We start from the raw sequence: 27676 nt of genomic DNA on the forward strand, positions 1-27676 counted from the left end.
AATAATTATACAACTCACCATAATGTAGAATCAGTGGGAGCCTGAGCTCGTTTCCCTGCAACTAGATGGTCTCATCTGGGGGTGATGGGAGACAGTGACAGATCATCAGGCATTAGATTCTCATAAGGAACACGCAACCTAGATCCCTTGCATGTACGGTTTACAATAGGGTATGTGCTTCTGTGAGAATCTGATGCCACCACTGATCTAACAGGAGGTGGCGCTCTGGCGGTAATGCTTGTTCATCTGCCACTCACCTCCTGCTGTGCGGCCTACTTCCTACCAGGCCATAAACCAGTACTGCTCCGTGGCCTGGGGGTTGGGGACCCCTGCCCTAAGTAATATAGTGTAATAACTATTTACATAGGATTTACATTGTATTAGGTATTACAAGTAATCTAGAGATGATTTAAAGTACATGGAAGGTTATGCATAGGTTATATACAAATACTGTGCCCTCTTTTATCAGGGATTTAAGCATCCATGGATTTTGATGTCTGTAGGAGGTCCTGGAACCAATCCCCCATGGATACCGAGAGATTACTGTGTATGACTTAAGGTCTATAACATGATGTTTTGATATACATAGTGAAATGATTACTACAGTCCAGCAAATTAACATATCTGTTATCTCATATACTTCTCTCCCTCCCTCCTTCCTTCTCTCCCTCCCTCCCTCCCTCTCTTCCCTTCTCTTTTCCTTCATAGTAAGAGTATCTAAAATCTACTCCCTTGGAAATTTCCAGTATAAAATATTATTAACCATAGTCCTCATGTTGTACACTAGATCTCTAGATTTAGCCTACATAGCTGCAAACTTTATACCCTTTGACCTAATTCTTCCCATTTTCTCTGCCCCAGGTAACCAGTATTCTGCTCTTTGTTGCTATCTGTGTATTTGTTGTTGCATTTTTTGGTTTTTCATTATGTTTTTTTTTTAATTCCACATATAAGTGAGATCATGCAGTGTTTTTCTCTGTGTGTCTGGCGTATTTCACTTAGCATAATGTCCTCTAAGTTCATTAATGTTTTGCAAATGGCAGGATCTCTCTCTTTTTCAAGGATGAATATTTCATTACATACACACACACCCACATCATAGTTTCTTTATTCGTCAACAGGCACTTCAGTTGCTTCCATAACTTGTATTGTGAATAATGTTGCAATGAATATGGGAATGCAGATTTTTTTAATAAGATTGTGATTTCATTTCCTTTGAGTAGATACTCAGAAGAGGCGGGATTGCAGGGTCATATTACTAGTTCTATTTTTAATTCCTTAAGAAACCTCCATACTGTTTTCCACACGGGCTGCACAAATCTGCATTTCCACCAACAGTGTACAAGGGTTCCCTTTTCCTCCCACTCTTACTAACACTTGTTATCTCTTGTTTTTTTGATAATAGCCATCCTAAAAGGGGTGAGGTGATATCTTATTGTGGTTTTGATTTTCATTTTCCTGATGATTAGTGATGTTGAGCATCTTTTCATATACCTGTTGGCCATTTTTATGTCTTTTGAGAAATGTTTATTCAGGTTCTTTGCCCATTTTTTAATTAGGTTATTCAATTTTTTGGCATTGCATCGTTATATATTTTTGATATTAACCCCTTATCAGATACATGGTTTGCAGATATTTTCTCCTAATGCGTAGGCCTCCTTTTCATTTTGTTGATTGTTTCCTTTGCTGTGCAAAAAAAGGCTATTAACTTTTATCCGGTACCACACGTCCAAAGTTAGATTTAAATTAACATAGTTTTCATTGTAAAATTAGCAATGGTAAATTTGTCGAAGCATTAAACAGCCTCATTAAATGTTCATAGGAGCAAATAACCATGTCAAATACCCTGTTCAGATATGGAAAAATTTTGCTCATTTAACAAATATTAAGCACTTACTATGTGCCCAGCATTGACTAATGTTCAGTGAAATCCTTTTGTTAAGAGATTCTTTTGAAAAACAATCAGACTATAAATATTATTTATTGGTGGAAAAGAGTAAAACATCTATATGCTATAAAAAGGCCGGGTGCGGTGGCTCACGCCTGTAATCCCAGCACTTTGGGAGGCTGAGGCGGGCGGATCACGAGGTCAGGAGATTGAGACCATCCTGGCTAACACGGTGAAACCCCATCTCTACTAAAAATACAAAAAATTAGCGGGGCCAGGTGGCAGGCACCTGTAGTCCCAGCTACTCGGGAGGCTGAGGCAGGAGAATGGTGTGAACCTGGGAGGTGGAGCTTGCAGTGAGCCGAGATCGCGCCACTGCACTCCAGCCTGGGTGACAGAGCGAGACTCCATCTCAAAAAAAAAAAAAAAGAAGAAACTATGGGGTCTGGCCTTTTTATTTGGCCACTAACTCTCTGGATTCCTACACAATTTACTTAACTCTGTTGTAGTGTCTCAGATCACTGATCAAGGAAAAGAGTTTTACTTCTCATTAAATAACTGTTCACCTTCACCCTTCATACCTCACCCAAAATATCTAAAAATGTTATGGAAGAAATTCCAATATGGAATGTAGTTCTGAGTGTCGGCTCTGGAATAAGAATATCTAAGTCTTCACCCAACCTCCAATACTGGCTATATGACTTCATCACTTCTCTAAACCTTTGTTTTCTCTGAACCTTAGTTTACTTAACTATAAAATGGGAAAAATGTTACTACAACCTTGTAGGGTTGATATGAGGAGAAAATGAGAGGTTAATAGCACCTCACGTACTACCTAGTACATTGTAAATGCAGAATACATTTGATCTATTATTATTGTTGCTACAAGTATTCAAATTATTGCTAGGCCTAGTGACAAATTGCAGGAGATGTTACCCTAATGATTTTCAGTTTACTTACAGAGCAGTGCTAATCATAGGTATATTGGGTTTATATATCCATCTATGCATCTACTCAATAAATATTAGGTAGCTACTATTTGCTTGATATTTTGTTAGGTGCTAAAAGTGATAGGCTCCAAGAATTGTATATACTATGAGTAAAATGTAAAATATAACTTTATATTAAAGAAAAAATATTTCAAGAATAGTTATGCATTAGCTACTTTCTGGGTCTTTTTGAGAAGGAGTTATCTGTTCATTAACAACAGCTGTCACTGTATTTACTTTTTTTTTCTTAGAAGAATAGCTTTAGTATTTAAAGAATCTGATTATCTTTAATTCTAGATAATCATTAACGTCTTTAAACAGAACCTGCCTTTAGCTTTGAATGGAATATTTCTGTTGAGCACATGTTTTATAATACTGTTGACTACCTTGCTTTTTTTTTTATTACTTTACATCTTGATAGCCTTTTTCACTGAAATCAAAGCAACTTCTATGTATATATTAAATATTCATATGATGGGAATACTTCTGATGCTAACATCCTTGTTACATTGTGGCTTTGCATGTCTAAGTATTGCTTCCTAAATCTAGATAAATGAAAATTCATCTTAGTTTCATTAGTTTCATCAGCTCTAATCTTATAATACCTTATATGATCATATAATACTATATCTCCTCACTAAAATACAAGGAAAGTTATAGTTTGATATTTACTTTAAGCTTCTTTGAGGAAAAGTATTGTACATGTACAAAGGAGTATCAAGATAGAGATGCAATCATGGTATCTATCCTCTAGTTGCCTGTTATGTTATGTTATGTTATGTTATGTTATGTTATGTTATGTTATGTTATGTTATGTTATTTTGATGGAGTCTCACTGTCGCTCAGGCTGGAGTGCAGTGACATGATCTAGGCTCACTGCAACCTCTGCCTCCCGGCATCAAGTGATTCTCCTGCCTCAGCCTCCCAAGTAGCTGGGATTACAGGCACGCACCACTATGCCCAGGTAATTTTTTGTGTTTTTAGCAGAGATGGGTTTTCACCATGTTGGCCAGGCTGGTCTCGATCTCCTGACCTCAGGTGATCCACCCACCTCAGCCTCCCACAGTGCTGGGATTATAGGCATGAGCCACCATGCCAACCTAGTTGCCTTTTAGAAAACTAGTTATTCTTGCTTTCAGTCCTTTATCACAATAGTGTATTGAATGTCCGTAAGTTCAATAGTAATCCTCCAAATATTTGAGACATATTTTAATATTATATAGATTATTACTTTGAATTATACTTGCAATCAGTACCCATGATTTCTCAGTCACCATTGCTTGAAGACACTTTGTTTTTCAAATAAATGCCTTTTTATGATATTGAAATATAATTTGTATAGTAGATTATTCATGGAGTAGCATGCCTAATTTTATCCTTAAAATGTCAACCAACATCAATGTTAAATTTCCTGATTTTAATTTTTGTTCTTGGTTTAGTAAGAGAATGTCCTTTGTTTTAGAAAATGCACACTGAAACAGTTGCTGGTAAAGGGCATAATGTCTCCAGCTTCCTCAAATGAGTCAGGAAAAATGCATATATATAATAAAAATATACATAGAGTGATTCAGCAAAGTTGGCAAAATGTAAACTGTTGATAAATCTGGAAAAAAGATATTCAGGAGTTGCTTATACTATTTATATAAAGTTACTAAAAAATCTACACCAACTTTAGTTATCAGTTTAGGAAAAGATCATGTATTACTTGCCTTTGTTCATTCTTGAGTATCTAGCATTAATCTTTTCCTATGTGCAAGAATACTAAAGCAGGAGGAAAGAGACTGAGTTAGTGGTTTTGGTTTCTTCAAGAAGGATGGAAATCCCAGAGGAATTAGGGAGAAAATGTGGTGATTGTAAAATTAGAAGATAACGCTCATCCGCTGTCACATTTTAAAATTACTTGGTACCTCCCACCCCCCCCCGCCAAAAAAAAACACAGATTATAGAAAACATCTTATTTGGACATCCTTTTGAAGTATAAGGCTTCCACACAAAAACTTGTACACAAATTGTTCATGGCAGCATTCTTCATAATATTAAAAAGTAGAAACAACCCAAATGTCCATTAGTGGAATATTTTCGGCCATAAAAAGGAATGAAGTACTCGCTAAAACATGGATGAACCTAAGTAAAAGAAACCAGGCATAAAAGACCACATATTATATGATTTCAGTTGTATAAAATGTCCAGAATAGGCAAATGCATAGAGTCAAAACTTAGATGAGTATTTGTTAGGGGATTAGGGGCTGGGGAGTATACAGAGTGACTGCTAATGGACACAGAGTTTCTTTTACAGGCCATGAAAATGTTCTGTAATTAAATAGTAGTAATGGCTACAAAAATGTGAATGTATTAAAAATCACTTTAAAAGGATGAATTTTATAGTATGTGAATTATATTTCAATAAAGCTCTTATTTTAAAAAAGTAAAACCTTGCCCATCACTCTTGCCTCGGAGTCTTCCTGTCTAATTAAAGGTAAGTCAAAGACCCCTAACATTACATGATCTGGCTTCCTATTACTCCACAGTCTGATCTCCTTTTACTTTTTCCCTCTCATTCCAGTCTAGCTGCAGTGCCTCCTGGCTGTTCTTGCCTCTAGTCTTTTTATTGGTAGTTCCTTCTTCCTAAAACTTACCACCTTTAACAGTTTAGTCAAATGTCAACCTCTCAGCAAGGCTTTCCCTGGCTACCCTCTCTGAAATTGTAAACCTCCCCCAGATTACCTATTTCCCCTTTTTGCTTTACTCTTCTCCTTGGTATTATTTACCATCTAACACAATATATATTTTACTTTTTTATCTTACTATTTCTCTTCCCCATAAAATATAAGCTCCCTGAGGACAGAGATTTTGTTGCTTTTGTTCACAACTGTATGTGGGGGTCTAAAATATGCTTGGCACATATTAGCACTGATATTGTTGAATGAATGAATCTGAAAGTATGAGTACAAGCAGCTATAATGAAAATCAGGAATACTAAGTAATTGAAGAAAGGGCTACATATTTTATGCCCTTTATTAAAATAAAAATTAAGTATCTCATGGGACCATGAAACTAAAGGAGTAGAAGGAAAGCAGTAATTTCTGTCTTGAAAGCAAAATAATAAGACAATTATTCAGTTATTAAAATGGAAATAAAACGTTATTTGACCCAGGCAGATAATAGTTACTTTACTTTTCAATGATAAGGACTTGGTAGATATCCGGACATACATTAAGTACTGAAAATATGTTGCCTGAATGGACAGTGTTGACATAAATCAGGGATCATTTAAGTATGGCCCATGCCTTTTTTTGTAAAAAAATTTGTATTGGAACACAGCCATGCCCATTAGTCTACGTATTTTCTATGGTTGTTTTTGTGCTATAACAGTGGAGTTAAAGTAGTTGCAGCAGATTATATGACCCACAAAACTTAAAATATTTACTATCTGGCCCTCCACAGAAAAAGTGCATTTGCTGACCCCTGCCTAAATTGGTCTCTGTGGAATATGGATTAGTATAATAGAGAATCATGACCAAGCCTTCAGAAGTTTACGTTTCATTTCCTGGACTGGCTGTGTTGATTTGGAAAAGTTAAGTTCTATGATTTTCGGTTTCTCATCTGAAAATGAATAGAATACTTATCTCACGTGGTTGTTGTTTAAGAATTTTAACTGAGCTAATGTGTATAAAGCACTTAGTGAAGTGCCTAGTAAACAGTAAATGTCAGCCCAGTAAGTAGCACATGCATATGTGTATATGCATATATACAGACATGCACATACACACAGGAAATGCATATGCCCTCAAATAGGAACTCTGTAAGTCACCAAGCATTCTCCAGACACTTTCTATATTTTTAAGTAAATAATGAATAAAGTTAATTAGTAAGTACTTACTACACATAAGACGACATGGTAAACTGCCAAAATGTATGGGATTTTGTTTTTTATGTAGAAAATTATAGTCAAACATTCTTTCTTTCTTTTTTTTTTTTCTCCTTAGAAACAGGGTCTCACTCCGTCACCTAGACTGCAGCACAGTGGCACAGTCATAGCTCACTGCAGCCTCAAACTCCTGGGCTCAAGCGATCCCCCTGCCTCAGCCTCCCAAGTAGCTGAGACTACAGGCACATGTCACCACATCCGGCTAATTTTTGCATTTTTCGTAGAAGTGGGGTCTCACTATGTTGCCCATGGTGTTATCAAACTCCTGGGTTCCTCAGCCTCCCAAAATGGTGGGATTATAGGCATGAACCACCATGCCTAACCTTCAAGCATTATTTCTGACAGCCCTATTTACAGTATTTTGATGCTCTTGACTCACATTTTAGCAAAATGTACAGCCCACTATAGAGTTTTACATTTTCAGGTAAGTTTCAATGTTTTATTTTTAAGGAAGGACTAGTTCATGCTTTGTTCGGATTATAAAAAGAGGAAAACAGTGTAATGCCTTATACATCATATTATGACAAAATTTCAATCTAGAACTTTTTCTTGGGTGCCTCATTTTCTTTTTTCTTTTTTTGATATGGGGTCTCGCTTGTACCCCATACAAAGAGTGCAGTGGGGTCTGCACTCTTACTAGGGTGCAGATATGGGGTCTCTGCACCCAGGCTGGAGTGCAGTGGCGCGATCTCGGCTTACTGCAACCTCTGCCTCCCGGGTTCAAGCAATTCTCCTGCCTCAGTCTCCCGAGTAGCTGGGATTACAGGCGTGCACCACCACGCCTGGCTAGTTTTTTTGTATTTTTATTAGAAACAGGGTTTCACCATGTTGGCCAGGCTCGTCTTGAACTCCTGACCTCAAGTGATCTGCCTGCCTCAGCCTCCGAAATGCTGGGATTACAGGCATGAGCCACAGCACCTGGTCTGGGTGCCTCATTTTCTAACTGTCAGTATACAGAAGGCAAATTCATAGGGCTGGATTATTTTGATGACCTTTCTAACTATACAGTGTTTTCTTTGTTAAAATAAATAAGAGATTTAATTTTTCCTTAACCAAGTTATTTTGGTTGTTAAATAAGAAGACCAATGGTATGAATCCTTAAATCAGGATATCTTTAGTATTAAGATATCTGCAATACATGAAATTATAATCTCACTTTCAATAATAATCTAGTAAACAGTTATAAATCTACTATATGCTAGGCATTAAAATTTTTTAAAAACTTAGTAGAACAGAAATTTTGTTTTCTAAAGGTATGAGATATTGTTGAGAAAAACATTATGTAAACAAGTAATTTTAATAACATAATAGTAATAACAATGAAAGTACGGACGTGAGAGCCATTAGTTCTACTTTAAGATGTCAGGGAAGACCTGGAGAGGTGACATTTGAGCTGAGTCTCAAGGGAACAGTTCAATATTGTCAGATGTATATGGTAGAGTGATACCACACAAGAGGTACCAAAGTCATTCGGCAAAAATCTTTGAGCTTCTACTGTGTGTCAGATAATGTTTTAGGCAGTTGAACAAAACAAAACAGTTGTCTAGTTGTTCTATACAAATGAACAAAACAAATGACTTTTTTCTGCCACTTTCAGTGGAACATGTAAAGGCGTGGAAGTGAGGTAAATAATACAGAATGGCTGAGTCGAGAGGAGTCTGGGGGTCCCTGACAAGAAAAAAGCAGAAGCCGTGTCACACCAGGAAGTTTGAGTGTAATCCTGTAGGCTACTGATGTCCAATCCCAGAGCTCCAGGGATACTGGTGTGTCATGAAGTTATTACAAAGGAATTAGCAATCCATGCTTAGATATTAAGCATGCATAGCCTGTGGATTTTAATAAAATGTCTTTTACACCTATTTTTGTACTACTTCTCAATTTTTTGTAGTTATTTTGAGTAATAGAAACTCATTTAAACATATGAATTCATAATACCTTTTTCGACAATTTTTATTTTCTCAATCGTGTGGTACTGTCACTTTAACTACTTTTAAGTAATCGTCAAAATGGTTAATTTTTAAATGAGGTCCTAAAATATTCAGCCTGGCATCTCCTGCCAGTGTTGAACCTGTTAAAACTTCTAGAGCTACCATCTAAAACTTCAGTTAATATTTGATGAGCTCCATCTAAGTGCCAAGCACTGCTCTAGCCACTAGGATTACAAAGATTAATATAAAACAAGGTCCATGTCCTCAGGGAACTTACAGTCATAATGAAATAGAGTCTAGATTAAAAATAAATAAGACTGAAGTAAGCATGGAGAAAAGGGTATAGATTCAGGATATGTTAAGGAGGTAGTAACTCTTAATCAATGAGAATCTCTCACTGAAAGCAGACTACTAGAATAGAAGCAAAGACCAGATTCTTAGGAAAAGAGCTAGTGTTTTGCTAATACAGGGGAAAAAAAGCTCTATCTTTTATTAAGAATATTGTTTTATCCTAGTAACAAGCCTAATCAATCTCCAGAGAACAAGGATATTAATAATTTATGGTTCTGTGAACATACCTCTTCTGCTTGATTTTTCTCTGCCTGGTAATAAGGTATAAACCTGTGAAATAATCTTAAGTCAAACCATGAAAATATGTAATGTAAACGATGTAAAAAATTCATCTGGATCTGACACCTTCATGATGATGTTGCAGAACAGTCATTCTCTATGTTGATCTCTGTACCTTCAGCCCAACAAGCTTACTTCTCTTCTTTCAGATTTCAGCCTTCTTTCCCACACACACACACACACACACACACACACAAATACACACACACACACACACACACTTCCTTTCTTTCCTCGCAAAGAAAGACAGCTATTGACTAGAAGCCCAGAATTGCCCCCAAGTTCCGACCACCAGCTCGAATTCTTATGAAGTGGACTTGTAATATCCTTAATGTTGCTGTTGGCAGTCAGTTACAGATTCCATTATTGTCGATCAGTGCAGTCGCCATGCGAGGTGGGGGGAGGAATGGAGGAGGAGGAGAAGAAAGGAGGGATGAGAGCTTCCTATTCACAGATTTATCAACCTGCCTTTTCTTGCAGGAAATCTTCGTAAAGGGGGCTGTTGAAATAGCTAAAGCAGGAAGGGGAAGGGGGCTGCAGTTCTTGCGGAGGACTGAAAGGAAATTTGAAAACCTTTCTCCTCAAAACAAAACAAAATGCTGAATTTGTTCTTTTGTCTTTGTTTTTGTTTGATATTTTTTACTTAACTGATTAGCTATTGTGCTGTCTGGTTATCTAAGCTGCTTCCAGTGTAGGAACCTGTTTCTTTTTCTTTGAGTGTCTTTATTCTTTATTTTCGTATGATTTTTCCTGTCATTAAACACACTTCATTATTCAGTGTTATCCTGGCTTTTTCTTTCAGACTAAAGCATAACACCAAGAGACAGAAGGACAAATCTCCCTTCTCTTCTCTTATACCACCCTCTTTTAACCCTATTTCTTTCCCCCTCCCCCTGGTTGTATTAGATTGATGTCACAGAGACAGAATTCAGAGTGGAGGGAGGATCACATTTTCTCTTTCATCATTACTGCCTAGCCAGCAATTTAAGTGTTGGACCCCCAAGAATTTAGTCTCTGTATCCTTTTTTTCTCACTTCATCATTCAGTAATTGTGCTCTGTATGGAAAAGTTTTCTGGCTGGAGAATGAGTCTCCTTTCCCCCGGTGATGTGGCGGAGTGGTTGGATAGTAGCACCGAAGAAGAGAAGAGCCTTCTGTCATTTCTGGGTACGGTAGGGCTTGCTTGTTCTTTTAACCCTTTATTGTCTGAACTTTTCTTACTTTTGGGAATAGGACCCCAAATTCTCTAAATCCACTTTTGTATTTTTAAAAGGAGAAGAGGAATTAAGGGAATATGTTTAAGTCGTTTGCTTTTCAAATTTTGTTTGTCTGTAGAAATAATGCCACCAACACTAGCTATGAGAAATAAGAGAGAGATTGCTTTGCCTTAACAAAGAGTGCTAGCTCCATTCAAGGCTTACCATGTCATCTGGCCAGCTGTTCATGGTATTTAGACAACTTCTGCCAACCAAAATAATATTATTGTTTTACTTTACTCTCAATACAGTGATGGTGAGGTGTGCTGTGTGAGAGTGGGAGTAGGCTTTGTGTGCATGAAAAGCCAATGTACAAATCGAGAAGTAGCTTTTATGCAAGGTGTGAAATATTTGTAATGCTTATATATGATTTCTACTGACTACATAAAATAGGACACATGGACCTCCCATTGCTTTAATTTTGCATTTTTGAATGCTTTCTAATAAATTTCTAAGTAAAGCAATTGTTTATCTTGTGGTTATTGATATAATAAACAAATTATTAGGAAAGTTAGGTTGTAAATCCAGTCATATCTTAAATGTGATAGAAGAGCTTGATACTCATTTAAAAACCTATTTGTGAATACTTTCCCTAGATTAATTATAGCCTTCAAATTTATCTTTCTTATAAATTTGATTTATCTTCTATTTTCCTAGATATAAGTATGCCTTTATTATAAATGGACAAAATTCAGTTGATCTTCTAATTTTCTAATTTATTCCTCATGAATATTATGTATGACCTATGGATAGTCTTCTGCCAGTCCAAAAGTTATCTCTACTATTATTTGAAAATCTTTCTTATAGTTAGCATAAGTTTATCTTTCAATTCTGTTGTCAATCTTAGCATTCTGTTTCTTTCCTTTTTTTTTTTTTTTGCAGTTTAGATGTAAAGGGTCATCCTAATCAGGTCTTCCTAGGTACATATATTTAGATACTAACCCGACTCTTAATTTACCATGGCCTTATTTATCTTCGGCATTTGGATGACTTTAAGAAATATGTATACCTCTTAAGCCTTCGTTTCTCTGAAGCCTATCTCATTCTACTTGCTTCCCATTCCCCTCCCCTGACACATGCATACATACACATAGAGAAACATCAGTGAAGAAACAAATACAGATATCCCTAAGTAAAACCAATCACTTAGACTCTACTACATCATGGGAAAGGAAGGCAGAGTTATCATTAAACATATTTTCTGTGCTCTGGCATACCTTTATGAATTCTAATTATCTAGCCTAAAGATAAATTTATTTATCTCCTGTTTTTGTGGGGAAGGCATTATCCTACTATACCTGAAATGAATTTGGTTAACAAAGATGAGTAAATAAAAAGTGCTATAGTAGTGCCCCCACCCATCCCTGCTCCTGTCCTCTGATTAAGGGAGTTAGTAAATTCCTATTTATCCACAGATGGATAAATGGAGGTAATAAAGACAAAGAATGTTAGAACTTGCTTAGAAGAAAAAAACGCAAATTTCCATAAATTATGATGTTGACTTCTGGGTAGTCAATTCCCGATTATCCACCCAATGGAAGCTTCAGATTATAGATAAAAACAGGTAAGTTAGAGTCCTGATTCTGCTCAAGGGCTACAATAAGTTTAGTTGCTGAGTGAATAGACAGCAATGTATCCCATGCTCTGCTGTGGCAGTGCTAAGCTGTGAAAGTCAGCAAATCTTATTTTTAGGATTGAAGCTCTCTCCTGACCATAGGCAGCAAACACCTCCATCTGTGGATAAACAGGAATTTTACTGAGCTCCTCCACAGGAATGAGGAACAAAACTATCTGAGATGTAGCTTGTGATAGTTCGAGGATTAAGTAAAACCCTTGTGTTGAGTCATTTGCTAATGTAATTACCATTAGTGACAACATGCTTTTCCCAATGAAGATGCCAAGAGAAAAACAAGAAAACTAAATCTACTTTATGGTGAATCTAGGATGAGTAGAACCAAGAAACACTGTGTCTTTTGGTAGCTATCAAATTATGCTTTCTTTGCCTAAGGAATTTTAAGGCAGATTTCCCTCCAGAAGGGGGGATGCAAGAAAAGTACTTTGTGCTGGTTAGGATCTACTACTTACTTCTGTACAGTAACCACCTAACTGATGTTCAGGCCTTCCCAATAACGTAGCTCACTGCTAGTTTGATGAAACTTCATACAACTGTGCACTGTTATTAATCTGTTAAAAAACCTTCCATGGTTTCTTCATCACCTACCAGATAAATTTAAAACACCTTACTGTGAAACTTAATTTGGCCTTTCACACCTGACATTCTATTATTCATTTTAGAGGAGAAAATCCCCAAGCCTCCCTTCCAACCAAATTGATTTACTTCCTGTCTTGGAACAAATATTGCCCTTTCCTACCTTGTTTCTTCTGTCAGCAGTGTTCAAACTCAGCTTTCTAAATTCAGCTTTTTAAAACTCTGCCCTTGTTTCAAAACTTTCTTATAAATAAATGCAATGTTCTAGACACTGCTAGATGCTGTGGCTGGATACAGAGAAGTATAAGAAAAAGCTGCTTGTGAGAGGCATAGTGTTTGGCTAGGGAGAAAACATGAACTACGCACAAGTTAAATGAGAAAAATTAAATGGTAATTCAGACGACAGTGGAGAAAATGAAAATAAGGCAGTTCCTAATTGTAAAATTATCCAGGTAAAAATTGCTTTGGGAGTTTGAAGAAGAGACATTTAAAAACATTGAAAATTATCTTACAGAGATAGGGTTTAATCTGAATCCTAAAAGATTTTTTATGGAAATGGTAGGGTTTTCTGTATGAAAGCAGTGTCCTGAGGAACATTAAATAATTTCACATCCGGTGAGCAAACTGTCTTGAAAAGAACGCAGAATTCATGTAAAGAAGTAATGAGAGATAACATTTGAAGGGTATTTGGAAGCTCACTATGTAGGACTAGTGACAATTTTATCCTGAAAGCCATAGAGAAGAATGAAAGACCCTTGAGCAAGAAGAAGATATGATCAAAATAGTTTTTTAGAAAGACATCTGAAAGTGATACTAAAGGGGAAGAGGCTAGAAGCAGTTAAATCAGTTTGAAAGCTATTGCAGTAGTACAGGTATGCAATAAGTGCCTCTACTTTTTTTATCCCTGTGTATTATAATTGTTGGTTTGTGTATTAAAACCAGACTGTGAATGCCTCCACAAGGAGGGCTTAATCCTCTGTCTTTTCAGCACGTGGAATACTCCTTGTGCAGATGAATGTTTGTGTAGCTCAGGTGAATAACAGATTAAAATAGATGGAGAGATTACAAAGAATGTATCAGCAGAATTGGTGACATATTAGAGGAATGGGGAACAAAATGAATCAAAGATAATTTTTGAACTTGGAAGAATGGTGGTACTATTAACAGAAATAAATTGAGAAAGGGAGCCAATTTTTTAGGAAGATGGGAGTTCTGTTTAGGTATTTTCACTTTTAGAAGACTAATCCACATCCAGACAGAAAAAACAGTTTTGGTAATTGGAAATGAAGTCACAGGTGGGAGCTGTTCATCTAGAGAAGAAAGATTGTTGATATTCTAAGCATCTGTAGGTCATCTGCTATCAAGAGCTTGTCAAGAAAAAAGAGAGGGCAGCAGCTGAAACTTGAAGAATATCAACATTTGGGGGTGGGTGGAGACAAAGAGGAGACACAGAGCGAATGACCGTAAATGTGGGAGGAAAGCCAGGATGGTGTGGTATTACAGGTGCTAAGGTAGAAAAGGTTAACAATGTGGTCAGTAGTGTCAGTGGCTACAAAAGCCAAAGAGAAGTCAGAAAAAAACCACTAGGCTTGACAATGTAAGAGACTGTTGATAACCTGTGAAAGTGTTAATGCTATTTGAGTAAAGTTGAAGAGGGAGAAGTCAGATTTTATAATACTGAGAATGACAGTAGGAGGTGAGATAGTGGAAACCACAGGTTAAGCCTTTTGCCTGAAGAAATCTGTGACTGACAGAAACATGTACCCTGTTAAAAACTAGATTGAGAAGACTTGTACATATTTTTAAGTGGAGGAGAGAGCAAGATCTTGAACCTACAAGAATAAAGACTAAGAAAACAAAACATTTTATGGGTTTGGAGGTGAGAGTAGAATTAAAAGCATAGGATTAACCTTTTGAAGGGAGAAAGAAAAAACTCATACAGGAACCAAATATACATGCCGAGATTTAGCAATGGAATGTAGGGAAGATGGGGAGATAACAGCTACTGTATTAATCTTATGCCATTTATCACACCCAGTCTTGCAGAGTTAGCTATTTGTGTACCCATTTATGTTGTTATTTGTGTGCCCATCAAATACTTCCCTGCTACTGCCAGATAAGGATCTTCTCTTAATATTTTGGCATCTTCCAGAATAGCACCGAATAGGTACTTAGTAGATACTTTTTGAATGAATGAATGATATCCAGATACCCAAAAATTTGAGACTCGGGACTTTTCAAAATTATTGAAATTATTCTGTCAGATCCAGCTTTTTTTCCCTCTTATTCTACTACTATTCTGTAGTCCCATAACCTTTTCAGGTACTTTGATAGCATTTGAAATTATTATTCAGTAGATAATGATTGCGTTTTCCAAATTCTAGAATAAGAAGGAAAATACTCAGCGTATACTTTTTTCCACTTTGCCTTTTCTAAATGGAATTTAAATGATTTCATTTTACTTCATAGAGTGAAGTAATTTATGTGATGGAATAGTTCTATGAAAGAATAATGTAATTTTGACAAATCCTAAACATTTTAAGTTTCTAAATGACTCTGTTGACTATAGTTAATTATTTGGCATTGGCAACTATTATCTGATTCCCAAAATTTACACCAAACATCAAGGGAGAAACATATTCAAAAATTGAAACTCTAATTTCTGGTAATATGCCAGACTAGATAACCTCAAAAATAATATAGAGACAATTAGAAATTTCACATTAGTGTAACAAACACTTTTAACTAAATGGCTGAACTCTCAGGAAGGAAAGGAAGTCCCCAGGAAGAGGAAAAAGAAAACAAAACAAAACTCGAAATCTAGACAGTAAACTCTCCTGGGGGCATTTACCAATTTTAGAATATTAGAGTTAAGTTTTAATGGCTATAATATAGGAGATGGGCCAAGGGTCTAACAAAGTAAAGAATTAGAACTGAAAGGCCTATGTCATTCTTCCCCATAGGACTGGGCCTCTGAATGAGTTACACCTTCAGTGAGAGTTGAAGTTAGAAAAATCTCTCATTGACAAATATAGACAAATCTTAATTATCTTAACCTGGACTGGTAGGTGAGGTGGGAGGGGGAAAAACATCCTGAGAATTCATAATCACAGTCGTGATAAGGTAAAACTGAAATAGTGGACAACATTAATATGTCAGAGATAGGAAGTGGGTAATTGGAATTGAAGTATTTTAAGATTGTTGAATTATTCGAGAAAAGGATAGAAATCGTGATTAACTTTAGGCTTTAAGTATACGTGTTAAAATGTTAAGGACAACTACTAGAAGAGTAAAAATAGAGTATTTTTATTGAAATATTTGAAAATATTAAAAAATATTTTCAAAAGCAATACAGAAGAAAATGGAATTTTTTAAACCTGATTAACCTGATTTTAAAAAAAAGAAAATCAGAAAAAAATGGGGAAAAAAATAGAAAATACAGTAAGATGGTAAAAATAAAATCCAATTATATCATAAATTATATATGAAAATGTTAAAAGATAAATATTGTCAGACTGGATTTTTTTTAATGCTATGAATGAGAGATCTAAAACACAGGGACCTAGGAAAGTTAAAAGTAAAGGCTTGGAAAAAGAAAGCTGGTGTAGCCAGTGAAATAGAATAAGACTATCAAAAAAGTTACTGGAATAAAGGAGGTCCCTAAATAATGATAAAATATAAAAATCACTAGGAAGACATAACAATCTTACATGTACCCAATAACAAAACCTCAAATTTTATTTGGCAAAAATGGACAGAAATGGATAATTCTACAGTCCTATCTATAAAAATTAGTAAGGATATAGAGAATATTCAAAAATGCAGTAAGCTTGATTTAATGGACATATATAGAATCCTGACTCCAACAATTAGTCTTCTCAAGCACATACAGAATCTTTATAAAAACTGGCAATAGACCAGGTCATAAAACAAATCTCAACAAATTTCAAAGTTATACGGATTGCATTCTCTAATAACAGTTGAACTAAGTTAGAAATTAGTAACAAAAATTTACTGTAAAAACCTTTATTTTTGCAGTCTTTTAAAGTTACTTGCAAATAACTTGTTAGTCAAAAAGGAAAACATAATGGAAATTATAAAATACTAAGCAATACTGAAAATAGTGTATATCAAAACTTGTGGAATATCACTAAAATAGTTCTTAAATGAAATGTGTAGTCTTTTACATTGAAAAGGGCAAAAGCTACAAATCAATGAGCTAAGCGTTTAACTCAACAAGTTAGATAATAACAAACCCAAAGAAAGTTTAGGGAAAGAAAGAATGAAAATAAGAGTAGATAATGATGAAATGGAAAATAGAAATAAACAGAATCAATAAAGCCAAGAGTTGTTCCTTTAAAAAGCCTAATGAAAATAGATGAAACCGACAAGATTTGCTAAAAAGAGAAAATATAAACAATGTTGACATGAAAAAAGGGTATAATTATAGAAAATTAGAGAATTGAAAAATAGACTATTATAAAAAAGACCTTTTTGATAATATATTTGGAAATTTAGACAAGTGGACATTTTAAGAAAAATGTAACTTAAAATTGTAGAAGCAATAAAAAACTGTAATTAGGCCTGTGACCTGTAACCATTAAAGAAACAGAGGCTAGACACAGTGGAGCACACCTGTAGTCTCAGCTACTGGGGAGGCTGAGTTGGGAGGATCACTTGAGACCAGAAGTTTGAGGCAGTGAGCTGTGATTCTGCCACTTTACTGGGAGTGACAGAGCAAGACCCTGTCTTGAAAGAGAGAGAGAGACAGAGAGAAAGGAAGGGGAGGGGAGGGGAGGGAAGGAAGGGAAGAAAGGAAGAGAGAAGAGAGAGAGAAATGGAATCAGTAGTTTAAAATCTACCACTGATTATGGTTTAATTTCTCATACAGCTTGACTTCAGAAAAATAATTAATGTCAAAGCACACTTGCGTTAATATTTCCAATCAGTGATAATTCAGTTTTTCATAGCAAGTGAATAAATTAGCATTCTGGCATCTAAATTTAAAAGCAAAAAGTACCTCAGTATGGCTATTGAATCCATATTGAGTCTCACAGGTGGACATGGTTCCCTTAGAGTTTTTAAGTCTTACATCCTTTGTTTAGGGATTTCCTTAGAACAGAAAAAGTGTAGAACAGAAGATGTTCTTGCAAAAATTTTCCTTTTGGGGATGTATAATTTAAAAACTAAAGGAAATTAAGCTGAACAGATATCTAAAGAAAATGAATAAGATATCAAGACTTAAATGTAATTATGTTTAAGTGTGCTTCTCAATAAAATTTGGAAATTTGTGACTTAATTTGAGACAGGGTCTCACTCTTGTCAGTCAAGCCCTGCCTCTTCCACCTCAGCGCCTTGCCTCCCAGCCTCAGCGCCCCCTACCCGTAGTAGCTGGGACGACAGGTGCAGTCGCACGCCGCCACGCCCAGCTAATTTTTGTATTTTTTGTAGAGATGGGGTTTCTCACCAGGTTGCCCAGGCTGGTCTCGAACTCCTGAACTCAAGTGATACACCCGCCTCGGGCCCCCAAAGTGCTGGGATTACAGGCGTGAGTCACCGTGCCCCGCCAATTTGTGACCTTTTTAAATAGAATGATGCATAGAAGGAAAATCCTCAAAACTTTTAAACCTAATTTCCCATGAGGCTTATTTATCATAATCTCAATTTTTCTGTGATAGCCATGTCACTAATAGAGAGATCAAAAGAAAAAGAAAAAAATTAGAAGAAAAAATAACAATTTAATATACATAAAGGAGAGTGGTCCTAAACTCAACCAGTTGGTTGAATTTAATTCCATGTGTGAGTTAGAGGTAACTAGAAAATTTATTAATTTATTTTGTATTAAATTGAACTATATGAAATTGCTGGTATTTTACCATTTTAATCTACCAAAAAAAGGCAGTTCTATAGGGCTGTACCTAATAGAGTCATGATTATAAGCACATGTGTCTATTGAGTGGGGGTAGGGGCAGGTGTCCAGACAAAGTATGCTTAACTATTTTTTAGTTGTTAAAATATATTTGCCATTATTTATTATCTTTTATTCTATCTTAATAATCCCTGCAGACAAGCAAGAATGGGTGCAAATGGTTTATAAAAACATTGTGAGAGAAATACTTAAAACAGAGAGAATTCTACCGGTTAAAATTTGTTTAAAAATTTAGACACAATCACAAGATGATTCCAATCTTGCAGTGACTTAAGACCTCCATTATGGAACACTAGTATCAGTATTAGTCAGGAATATAGTTTAGTTTGGTACCCAAAACTAAAACGCATATAATCAAAGAATATGAACTTATATAAATGTATTAATTGGAAATCAAAGAAATGTGAGTAATTAGGCCTGGTTTTATGGAAGTAGATGAATTGAAGTTGATATTGAAGGTCATCTAAGAGTTGGCAGATATGTAGGTGAAAAAAGCAGGCATGTGAGAATGAATGTGGCCAGTTTGAGATTAGAGATCATCTGACTGAGGCAAATTGTAGAAAACTGTTGGCAGAAAGGACTAAATATGCAAAGTAGGGCCAGGTGATTTTTTTCCTAATGTCTGACTATCTAAAGATCTCTAGGAAGGAAATTTCATCCAGAAAGTAATGTTTTAGGGAGATTAATCTGGTAATGATGAGTAGGATAGCTTTAAGCAGGGAGAGACTGGAGTCAGTAAGAGCAGTTAGGTGCTTCCTGCCATAATCTGCATGAGAAGATAAAAAGCCCTAGATTAGGATGGTGGATGGTAGTGGAAATAAGACAAAATGAAGCCAACAGCCATTTCGAAGAGATACTTAGCAGTGTGTGTTGGCTAAAGGGGGGCAAATCAACATCATAGGCTCCTTTCTTTTTTATTACCTTCACTAATGGGTGATGTTGAGTGTAAATGATTTTGTTTTTGTACAGTGTCATGTGCATATTTAGTTCTTGGTAAATGATTAAATTTTCATCTTTATATTACAGGTTTACATATTTGTATGTTTTCTTTTTTTAATGTCCTCTATTAATATTTGTTTGGGAAATAAAACCCAAACAGAGGCTCTGGCATAATCAAGACTAAATCTTTTTTTTAATGTTCACTGACTACCAAAATGATGGTATGAATAAATCTACCATTATACCCCCAATTGTACATGAAGCATATTAACAATGAGAATATATTACTAAATCAGTTACAGAAAAAGTTATATATGAAGCATATTAATAATGAGTATATATTATTAAATCAGTTACAGAAAAGGTTTAAATAAAGGTGTTAGGCCCTATCTGTAGATTAGAAGAGATAGTTGATGACAAAATAAAACTCACCAAACTGAAGTTGATACCTTATAAATACCAAACTGAAGTTAATACATTATAAATAATTGGACTGACATGTTCAAAATAGTCATTTTATGCTGAACAATGCTTTGTTGTTTAGTAATTGTTCTTTGCAAAACCTAAAATATTAATGCTTTTTATCTCTGTTCATCTCATACAACTTATCTAAGTACTTATCTCCCCACATAGGTATACTGAAGATTAGTGGCATTGAAAGACATGGTTTATTTTGGAGGGCTCTTGTCACTTTTTTGTTCAAGGGATCAGTATTAGATATTCTTTATAAGTTGTTTCCTGTTTTGTTCACATTTTTTCACCATTAACTTTTGTCATTAAGTTAGTAAACTTTTGTCCCTTGTTATTGTTTTGCCTCACCTCTCTGTGTTTCTTGACTAGAATGTTTTTATCAGCATCAGCATTCAAGGATTGAGTTGTTCTTTACAGGTTTTGTGTGCAGAAAACACCTCAAGAGTATGACTTAATTCTCTTTAAAATATGAAGAAAACTAGAGTCTCTGTGATCATTCATCTTATTTTTTTTCTCCATTGCAGCCCATTATACAAAACACATGGAGAACAGGATAGAATGCATGGCAATTAAAGCTGTCTCTAAAGCCAAACTGCATGGATTCTAATCCTGCCCCCACCCTTTTTACCAGCTGTGCAAACATGGGCAGAGTAATACATGGGTGATAGTTCCACCTCCAAAGAGTTGTTTTGAGGATTAAAGATGTAACTTATGTAAAACATGTAGCAAATAATAAGGCATAATACAAGGTTGGCGCAAAAGTAATTGTGGTTTCACATTTTTTAAGTTGCAAAAGCCACAATTACTTTTGCACCAAACATGACAGTTTGATGTTTGTACTTGTCGTTGTTATGTTTTCATCATCATCATTAAGATACCCACTTGTCATCACTAAGAACTAGATACGTGTTTTCTATCTGAAACTTAAGATAACACATAAATATCCCTGAGCTATTTTCTTGGCCTTTTCAGTTGAGAGTGTTGTTTGCACTAAAAGTATTCTCTACCATCTCATCCAACATTGTCATGTGAAGCCCTAAGTTGAAGAAATGGAATACTTGTGGGTGGTATTCAGATTCCTTGGCTGGGGAAAAAAATTGTTTTTCTATTATGTTAACAAGAAGAAATATTAAATATTAAAAATAATAATAAATTTACTGAAGCAAGGAAGTGGTGGGGAGACTGGATGGCTTTACTTTATGAGAATTTACCACATTTATGTACTTAGCACCAATTTGTACATATTGGAGTGTGTGGGGCATGCAAACTTGAAAGGACTACTTGTTTGAGTGAAGTACTGCAGTCTGAGTGATACAAATTGGGTGAATTAAAGTGGCTCTGGGGATTTGTATTTCAGAGCAGCTGGATGCTTGTGGCTGACAGTGCATAGGCTTTAAGGCAGTAAAAGTGGGATACAGCAGAAAGTATCCTACTGAAAATGGTGGATGAAGTTTATAAAAACACCCAGGTGCTATAGTGTTAGCAGCCGTATAAATGCAGTATGTGATTTTTCTTCTCTTTGCTCTTGTCACTTTTTCTTTATAATATTTTTCTAACTCTGTCTTTTAAGTTCCTATTACCTTTAGGAGTCCTCCAGCAAAAAAATATGAAACCTTATTTTCATGAAAGCCTTTTTTGTTTCACAATTTGCCATTTGTTATTAAAGCCCCTCTACTGAAGAGCTACAAACCCATTTCCTCCTACTATTTCATCCTTCCTATTCTGTTTCTTAAATGTCTTCTGTGCCTTAAATGTCTTCTGTGCATCCTATGGAAGAAGAACCCTCCTAATTCAGAATTCACAGCATGGAGAGAGAAGTTATTTGCTTATTTCATTCATTAATAACTAGAGCCACCAACATACCACATCCTATTTAATGTTGTCATTATTTACAAAATGCAAGGGAAAATAGATTATAGTGAAGTGGACTCATTCATAGCAACACTATATATGCCAAAATTTCAGTGACTTGAATGGGTACACAAACAGTTTGGTTTGTATTCAATGTTTTATCATGTTTTGTTGAAATGTTGATTTTTAAAAAGGCTTTTGAAGTAAACTGAAGAATTCACTTTATGAGAAAAACATTAGAAACTTGTTTCCTACCTACAAATATCAAAATTATTAAAGAGGCATGTGAATAATTATAATTGAAAGAGTATTTACATTTATTCATGTTTTATAATTCTGTGCAAAAAATTACTAAGAATTGGTTCAGGTTGCCATTAATATGAAGTGCTTAGAATCCTGTATATGCCAAAGAAACTGCATCTGTGACATGTAATATTTTTCTGTTCTATTGTAACTTGAGAATTTTACTATGATATTTTAGTTTCTTATATAATTGTTCACCAAATTAAAGCTATAAATATCTTTCTACATTTTATTTACCTTTCCTGCTGAATTTCCTCCTCTGAACTTACTTTATTCCCTTTTAAATTTTGCCACCATCCTCAGAGAGAGTAATAATTGTTACTATCTCAGGGGCTACAGCAAAGATTAAGTAAGTTAGATACTAGGCCCAGTACTTAGCACATAAATTCTCAACATGAGCTAAAATTCGCTGGGTGTGGTGGCACGCACCTGTGGTCCCAGCTAATCAGGAGGCTGAGGTGGGAGGATCGTTTGAACATGGGAGGTATAGGCTGCAAGGAGCTGAGATTGTGCCACTGCACTCCAGCTTGGGAGACTGAGTCCATGTCTCAAAAAAAAAAAAACACACACACACACACAAAAAAAAAACTCAATATGAGCTAAAATTATAATAAAACTATTTTCCCTAGACAAATTATTCACAAAGAGGTGCTTAAATAGCTTTTATAATGTAACTCTTTTAAAAGAAAAAAAATTTAAATTATTATCTTTACTTGTTTTTTACGCTATGGTAACTAATTCTAAAAATGATAGACATTATAAGAAATTTATGTTATTTATAATAGTTAAGTATATGCAAATATTATATGGCATATGACCTTCGGTTAAACGAGATTGAACAAAAAGTAAATGTAATTGATGCCTATAGATATTTGACCGTATAGTAATGACATTGTGTAGCAGATACCTTTCTCATTTAAGATATTTTCGGAGTCTTTTGGAACCTAACCCTCAGTTAATATGATAGACATTTCACTTTACTCTCTTTCCAAACATAATAACATTCCAGATTTATTCTGTATCACATTCATTATTCAAAATCCTGAAAAGAAAATTGACCTGGTGGAGTTGGCTCAAGCCTGTAACCCTAGCACTTTGGGAGGCCAAGGCGAGTGGATCATTTGAGCCCAGGAGTTAGAGACTAGCCTGGGTAAGATGGTGAAATACCCTTTCTAGAAACAGGCATGGTGGCACACACTTATAGTCCCAGCTACTCAGGAGGCTGAGGTGGGAGGATCACTTGAACCCCGGAGGTGGAGTTTGTAGTGAGCCCAGATCATACCACTGCACTCCAGCCTGGGCGACTGTCTTAAAAAAAAGAAAGAAAAAGAAAAGCATTAAGAAATACCAGTAAGTGTATATCTATGGACTTTCAATACGATTTGTACCTTTTGGTGACGCATGTCTGACCAGGTGGTTTTTCATTTTAGAGTTAAAAAAAAAAAGTCCTTACAAGAGAAGATTAATGAGTTTATATGTTTTGGTGCAAAATTAGCTTTTTGGAAGAAAGGGGTTCTTTAAAATATAGTAGTATTGTAGTGTCATTTCCTTAGCATATACATTTTCTTCTGTCACTGTCCTTATATTGGCCAGTATTATCTGAACATGTCTGCCCCAGTTCCTCTCAGACTTTACCTCCTACTATTTGTTCCCACTCACTGGCACCAATCCCACTGGCCTCTTTGTTGCGGTTTACCTTAGAAGCTTTGTACTAGCTTCCCTCTACCTGTAGTCTTCTTCCCTGTTAAACCTGCAAGGCTGACTTCCTTACCTCCTAAAGTATTGACTCACACCTCACCTTTGCAGTGCAACTACCTATTGAAAATTACTGTACCTATTCATCTCCCTGACTACTTTTTATTTCCCCTAAAACACTTGTCACCTTCTAACTTACTCCTTAGGGTCCTCTCAAATACATGATAGGAATTTTTGGCATTTACTCCCTGGTAAGTGAACCAAAGGCAGTGTATACACTATTAGGTTCTAAGGCAGAAATTGACTTCTGTTTGTTGAACAGGAACATCCTCCACCAAAAGTATATTTGCCCCTATAATTATCCAATTTTCAATTTCTTTGCCACACTTTCCAAAGAAAGTGCGTTGACATAGAGGAATATGTGTATGTTGAGGAAATGATAGTACTCTATTTTGGATTTTAAAAGATTCTTCCTTCCAGAAAGCTAATTTTGCCTCAAAGCATATAAACTCATTAATCTTGTCTTTATCTCTGTTTGGTCTGGATAACCCAGTTTATTAAATGGCGAAGACCAGGACAGAAAAGGTGAAATGGCTTACACAGAATCGTACATATCATTGGTAGAGCTGCTAAGAAAAACATCCAGATGTTCTCTTTGTTCAATACATCATTCTATATGGAGCTGTATTGGAGGTTATCTCTCATCATTTTAAGTCATCACATCATCTGAGGTCATATCCAATGGCAAAGGAAATGAAGAGATACATTTAAAACTTAACCAGGCTTTTTATAACTCTTTTTGCCTTTCAATCTGAAGATGAAAAATATTATGTTTAGAGATGAGAAAGTGAGGCAGTTTCAGGCCTTTATCTGAAACAATACTGTATCTCTCTTGTCTCATCAGTCTCAGAGAATGAGCATATTTTAAAATGACTGTAATTAAATATTGTAACTATGAAAAGAACATTAATTTTACAGCAGGTGAAAATAATGCAATAGTATGTAGCATGAGTGGGGGTAGAGGATACAGCTGTCTAATTTTGGTCTACTGGAACTAGTGTAGATTTTCCTTCAAACTGAGCAGAAATGTAGCTCTTAGAGCATAGTAGCAGCTTTCCTTTCTGCTTACAGATTTAAAGTTAAAGGCACAAGTTTAATATGCTGTTCGTTCTGTGACTAATCCAGCAGGTTGCTCATTCCGCTCTTGCTAATGCTGCTACCTTGCTTCTAAGTGGACATTGGTACTTGGGGTATTTATTTTTCTGTATGCTTTGAAGTAGTTATGAATCTTCTGAGAACTAAAGAACTGGGATTCTCCAAAGGCCTATTCTACACTAGCAGGTGAGTGGTATTATTGTGGGGGTTGAGAAAGCAACAAAGTGTAAACTTCTTTTCATTAGGTGATTTAGCTTTACCTTATTTCTTCCCCTTCTTTCCCCTTTTTAGTGGAAATTGTTCAAACTTCAGGAATGATTTAATATCTTCTTTCTGGACCCGATAATACATCATATAAGCTACATCAGCATTGTATTTTTTCCCATAATACAGAAAGAGAATTTTTTTTTTAATTTTATTATTATTATACTTTAAGTTTTAGGGTACATGTGCACCATGTGCAGGTTTGTTACATATGTATACATGTGCCATGTTGGTGTGCTGCACCCATTAATTCATCATTTAGCATTAGGTATATCTCCTAATGTTATCCTTCCCCCCTCCCCCTACCCCACAACAGTCCCCGGAGTGTGATGTTCCCCTTCCTGTGTCCATGTGTTCTCATTGTTCAGTTCCCACCTATGAGTGAGAACATGCAGTGTTTGGTTTTTTGTCCTTGCGATAGTTTGCTGAGAATGATGGTTTCCAGTTTCATCCGTGTCCCTACAAAGGACATGAACTCATCATTTTTTATGGCTGCATAGTATCCCATGGTGTATATGTGCCACATTTTCTTAATCCAGTCTATCATTGTTGGAAAAAAGAGAAAAGAAAACAGAAGTATAACAATACCATATTTATTGGAGTTTGAAATGTGGCCACTAATTTTAGTCAATATAGTTTCAAATAGTTAAAAGCATTGAAACATATTCATTTAATGAGTTTGTATGCCTGAAAACTAAAATTGGATGTATGGAAGAAAGTGAGGAAATTAATTTCAGTTTTTTTTCCTTAGCCAGAACATTGCAAATTAAGGAAATGGTTTACTAGATCATTTTATCCCAGCTAATGAAATTTATTTTTCCCCCAATTTAGTTTCTCTGTCAATTATTCAGAAATTAAAACATACTATATTGTAATATTAAATCTCCAGTGTCTTCTAATTTGATATGAGGTTACCTTTATAGGTAATTATTAGAGGAAAGGTGAGATTTTTTTTCTACCTTCACCAGCCCCATTCCCTGCCTGCCTTGCCCCTAGCCACATAGAGTCATCTAACTTGGATAATTACTCTGTAAAGTCATATTCCTGAAGTCTGGAAGTCTTTCTGTTCAATGTGCTCCAACAAGCTGATTTACTTAAATTCAGTGCTTTGTGCCATTCCCATGAATCTGAGCTAATTATGCTGCCATTTTTCAGCGATGTGCATTAGAAGTCATGTGTGCCTAATTCTGAGAACAGCTTTGCACATTAAGGCTCATTTGACTAGTGATGGTTAGAGAGAAGTTAAGGGACTTACAGTTACTGGTCATAATTTTAAAATACAGTAGTAGTATGGAACTCTCTTGTACTGCAAGCATACAAGATGCTATGTTGTCAGCCTCTCAGTCTTTAGGAATGTTCCAATTTGGCTTGTGCCTTACCAGTCAAGATGTCACAGAGAAGATATGTTTAGTCATGGAAAAGAAAATCAGTGTCCAGCATGCAAAGATAGTAAAAGGGTAAGCACTTCCAGTTGGATTTTCATAGGAGGAATTGATTTGTGTGCATTACTGGATCTGTGTAAAATGGTGTCCTTTTGGCACTAGGTGGATATACATTTCAGTAAATGTTTTTTCTTGCTGCAGATTAGTGTAAGACAGTGAAATTTTCAGTAACTGAGGGAAGGCAGTGGTTGGGCATCTGTTAATAGCCTGAAAGTAACTAATGAGGATGTGCAGTCAGAACGATTGATTGAATAGCTGCAGTCCTGTGTATTTCTTTCTTGCTTGCTCTCTGCAAGCTGTGGAGAGGGAGGGGGAAGAGCAAGACACAGAGAGGGAGCGAGAGAAAAAACGCTCTCTCTTAAGTGGAAGTAGCACGGATCCCAGGGGCCAGGAGGCCAGAAATGGAAGTTTAAACTGCATCTGTCTTTTAAAGGGAGAACAGCAGGAATCAAAATGTCAGTCTCCGGAGTTACGATTTACTCCTTGTTTTCTAAGATCTGGAAGATAACACAGAATACTTTTTTTAGGATGTGGCTTTTTTTTCCTTGTCCATGTTGAGATTATCTAATGTTATCTGAGAAGCTGGATTCCTTTATGTCTGTCAGTTGAAGTGGCGATGGGAAGCAGTTGTGATAAAGGTATAATACGTATATATCTATCATCTGTGTGTGCGTGTGTATGCATATATATATACACATGTATATATATATCACTCTATGAAAAAATCTTAAAAATGTAGCCTTAATACAGTATATAGTAATTAAATGGGAGAAGATCACATTATCTGCAAAATCCTAAGC

General features: G+C 35.7%; 1 protein-coding gene across 19 annotated transcripts in view; it reads left to right on the forward strand.

Annotated features, from left to right (window-relative positions):
* The window catches only part of RASAL2 (RAS protein activator like 2), a 384747-nt gene that overhangs the window by 267690 nt on the left and 89381 nt on the right, over window positions 1-27676 (forward strand). For 4 of the 19 annotated variants that reach the window (XM_017002854.2, XM_047434849.1, XM_017002855.2 and 1 more), the window contains exon 1: window positions 11498-27514. The exons of 13 other annotated variants lie outside the window; for them this stretch is intronic. In XM_017002854.2, the coding sequence (XP_016858343.1) occupies window positions 27493-27514 (22 nt within the window). In that variant the 5' untranslated portion in view covers window positions 11498-27492. Of the gene's footprint in view, window positions 1-9578; window positions 10530-11497; window positions 27515-27676 lie in introns of those variants that run through there. 2 more of the 19 variants (XM_047434838.1, XM_047434839.1) reach the window with 2 other exon arrangements.

This window comes from Homo sapiens, chromosome 1, assembly GCF_000001405.40.
Source record: "Homo sapiens chromosome 1, GRCh38.p14 Primary Assembly".
Lineage (NCBI taxonomy): Eukaryota > Metazoa > Chordata > Mammalia > Primates > Hominidae > Homo > Homo sapiens.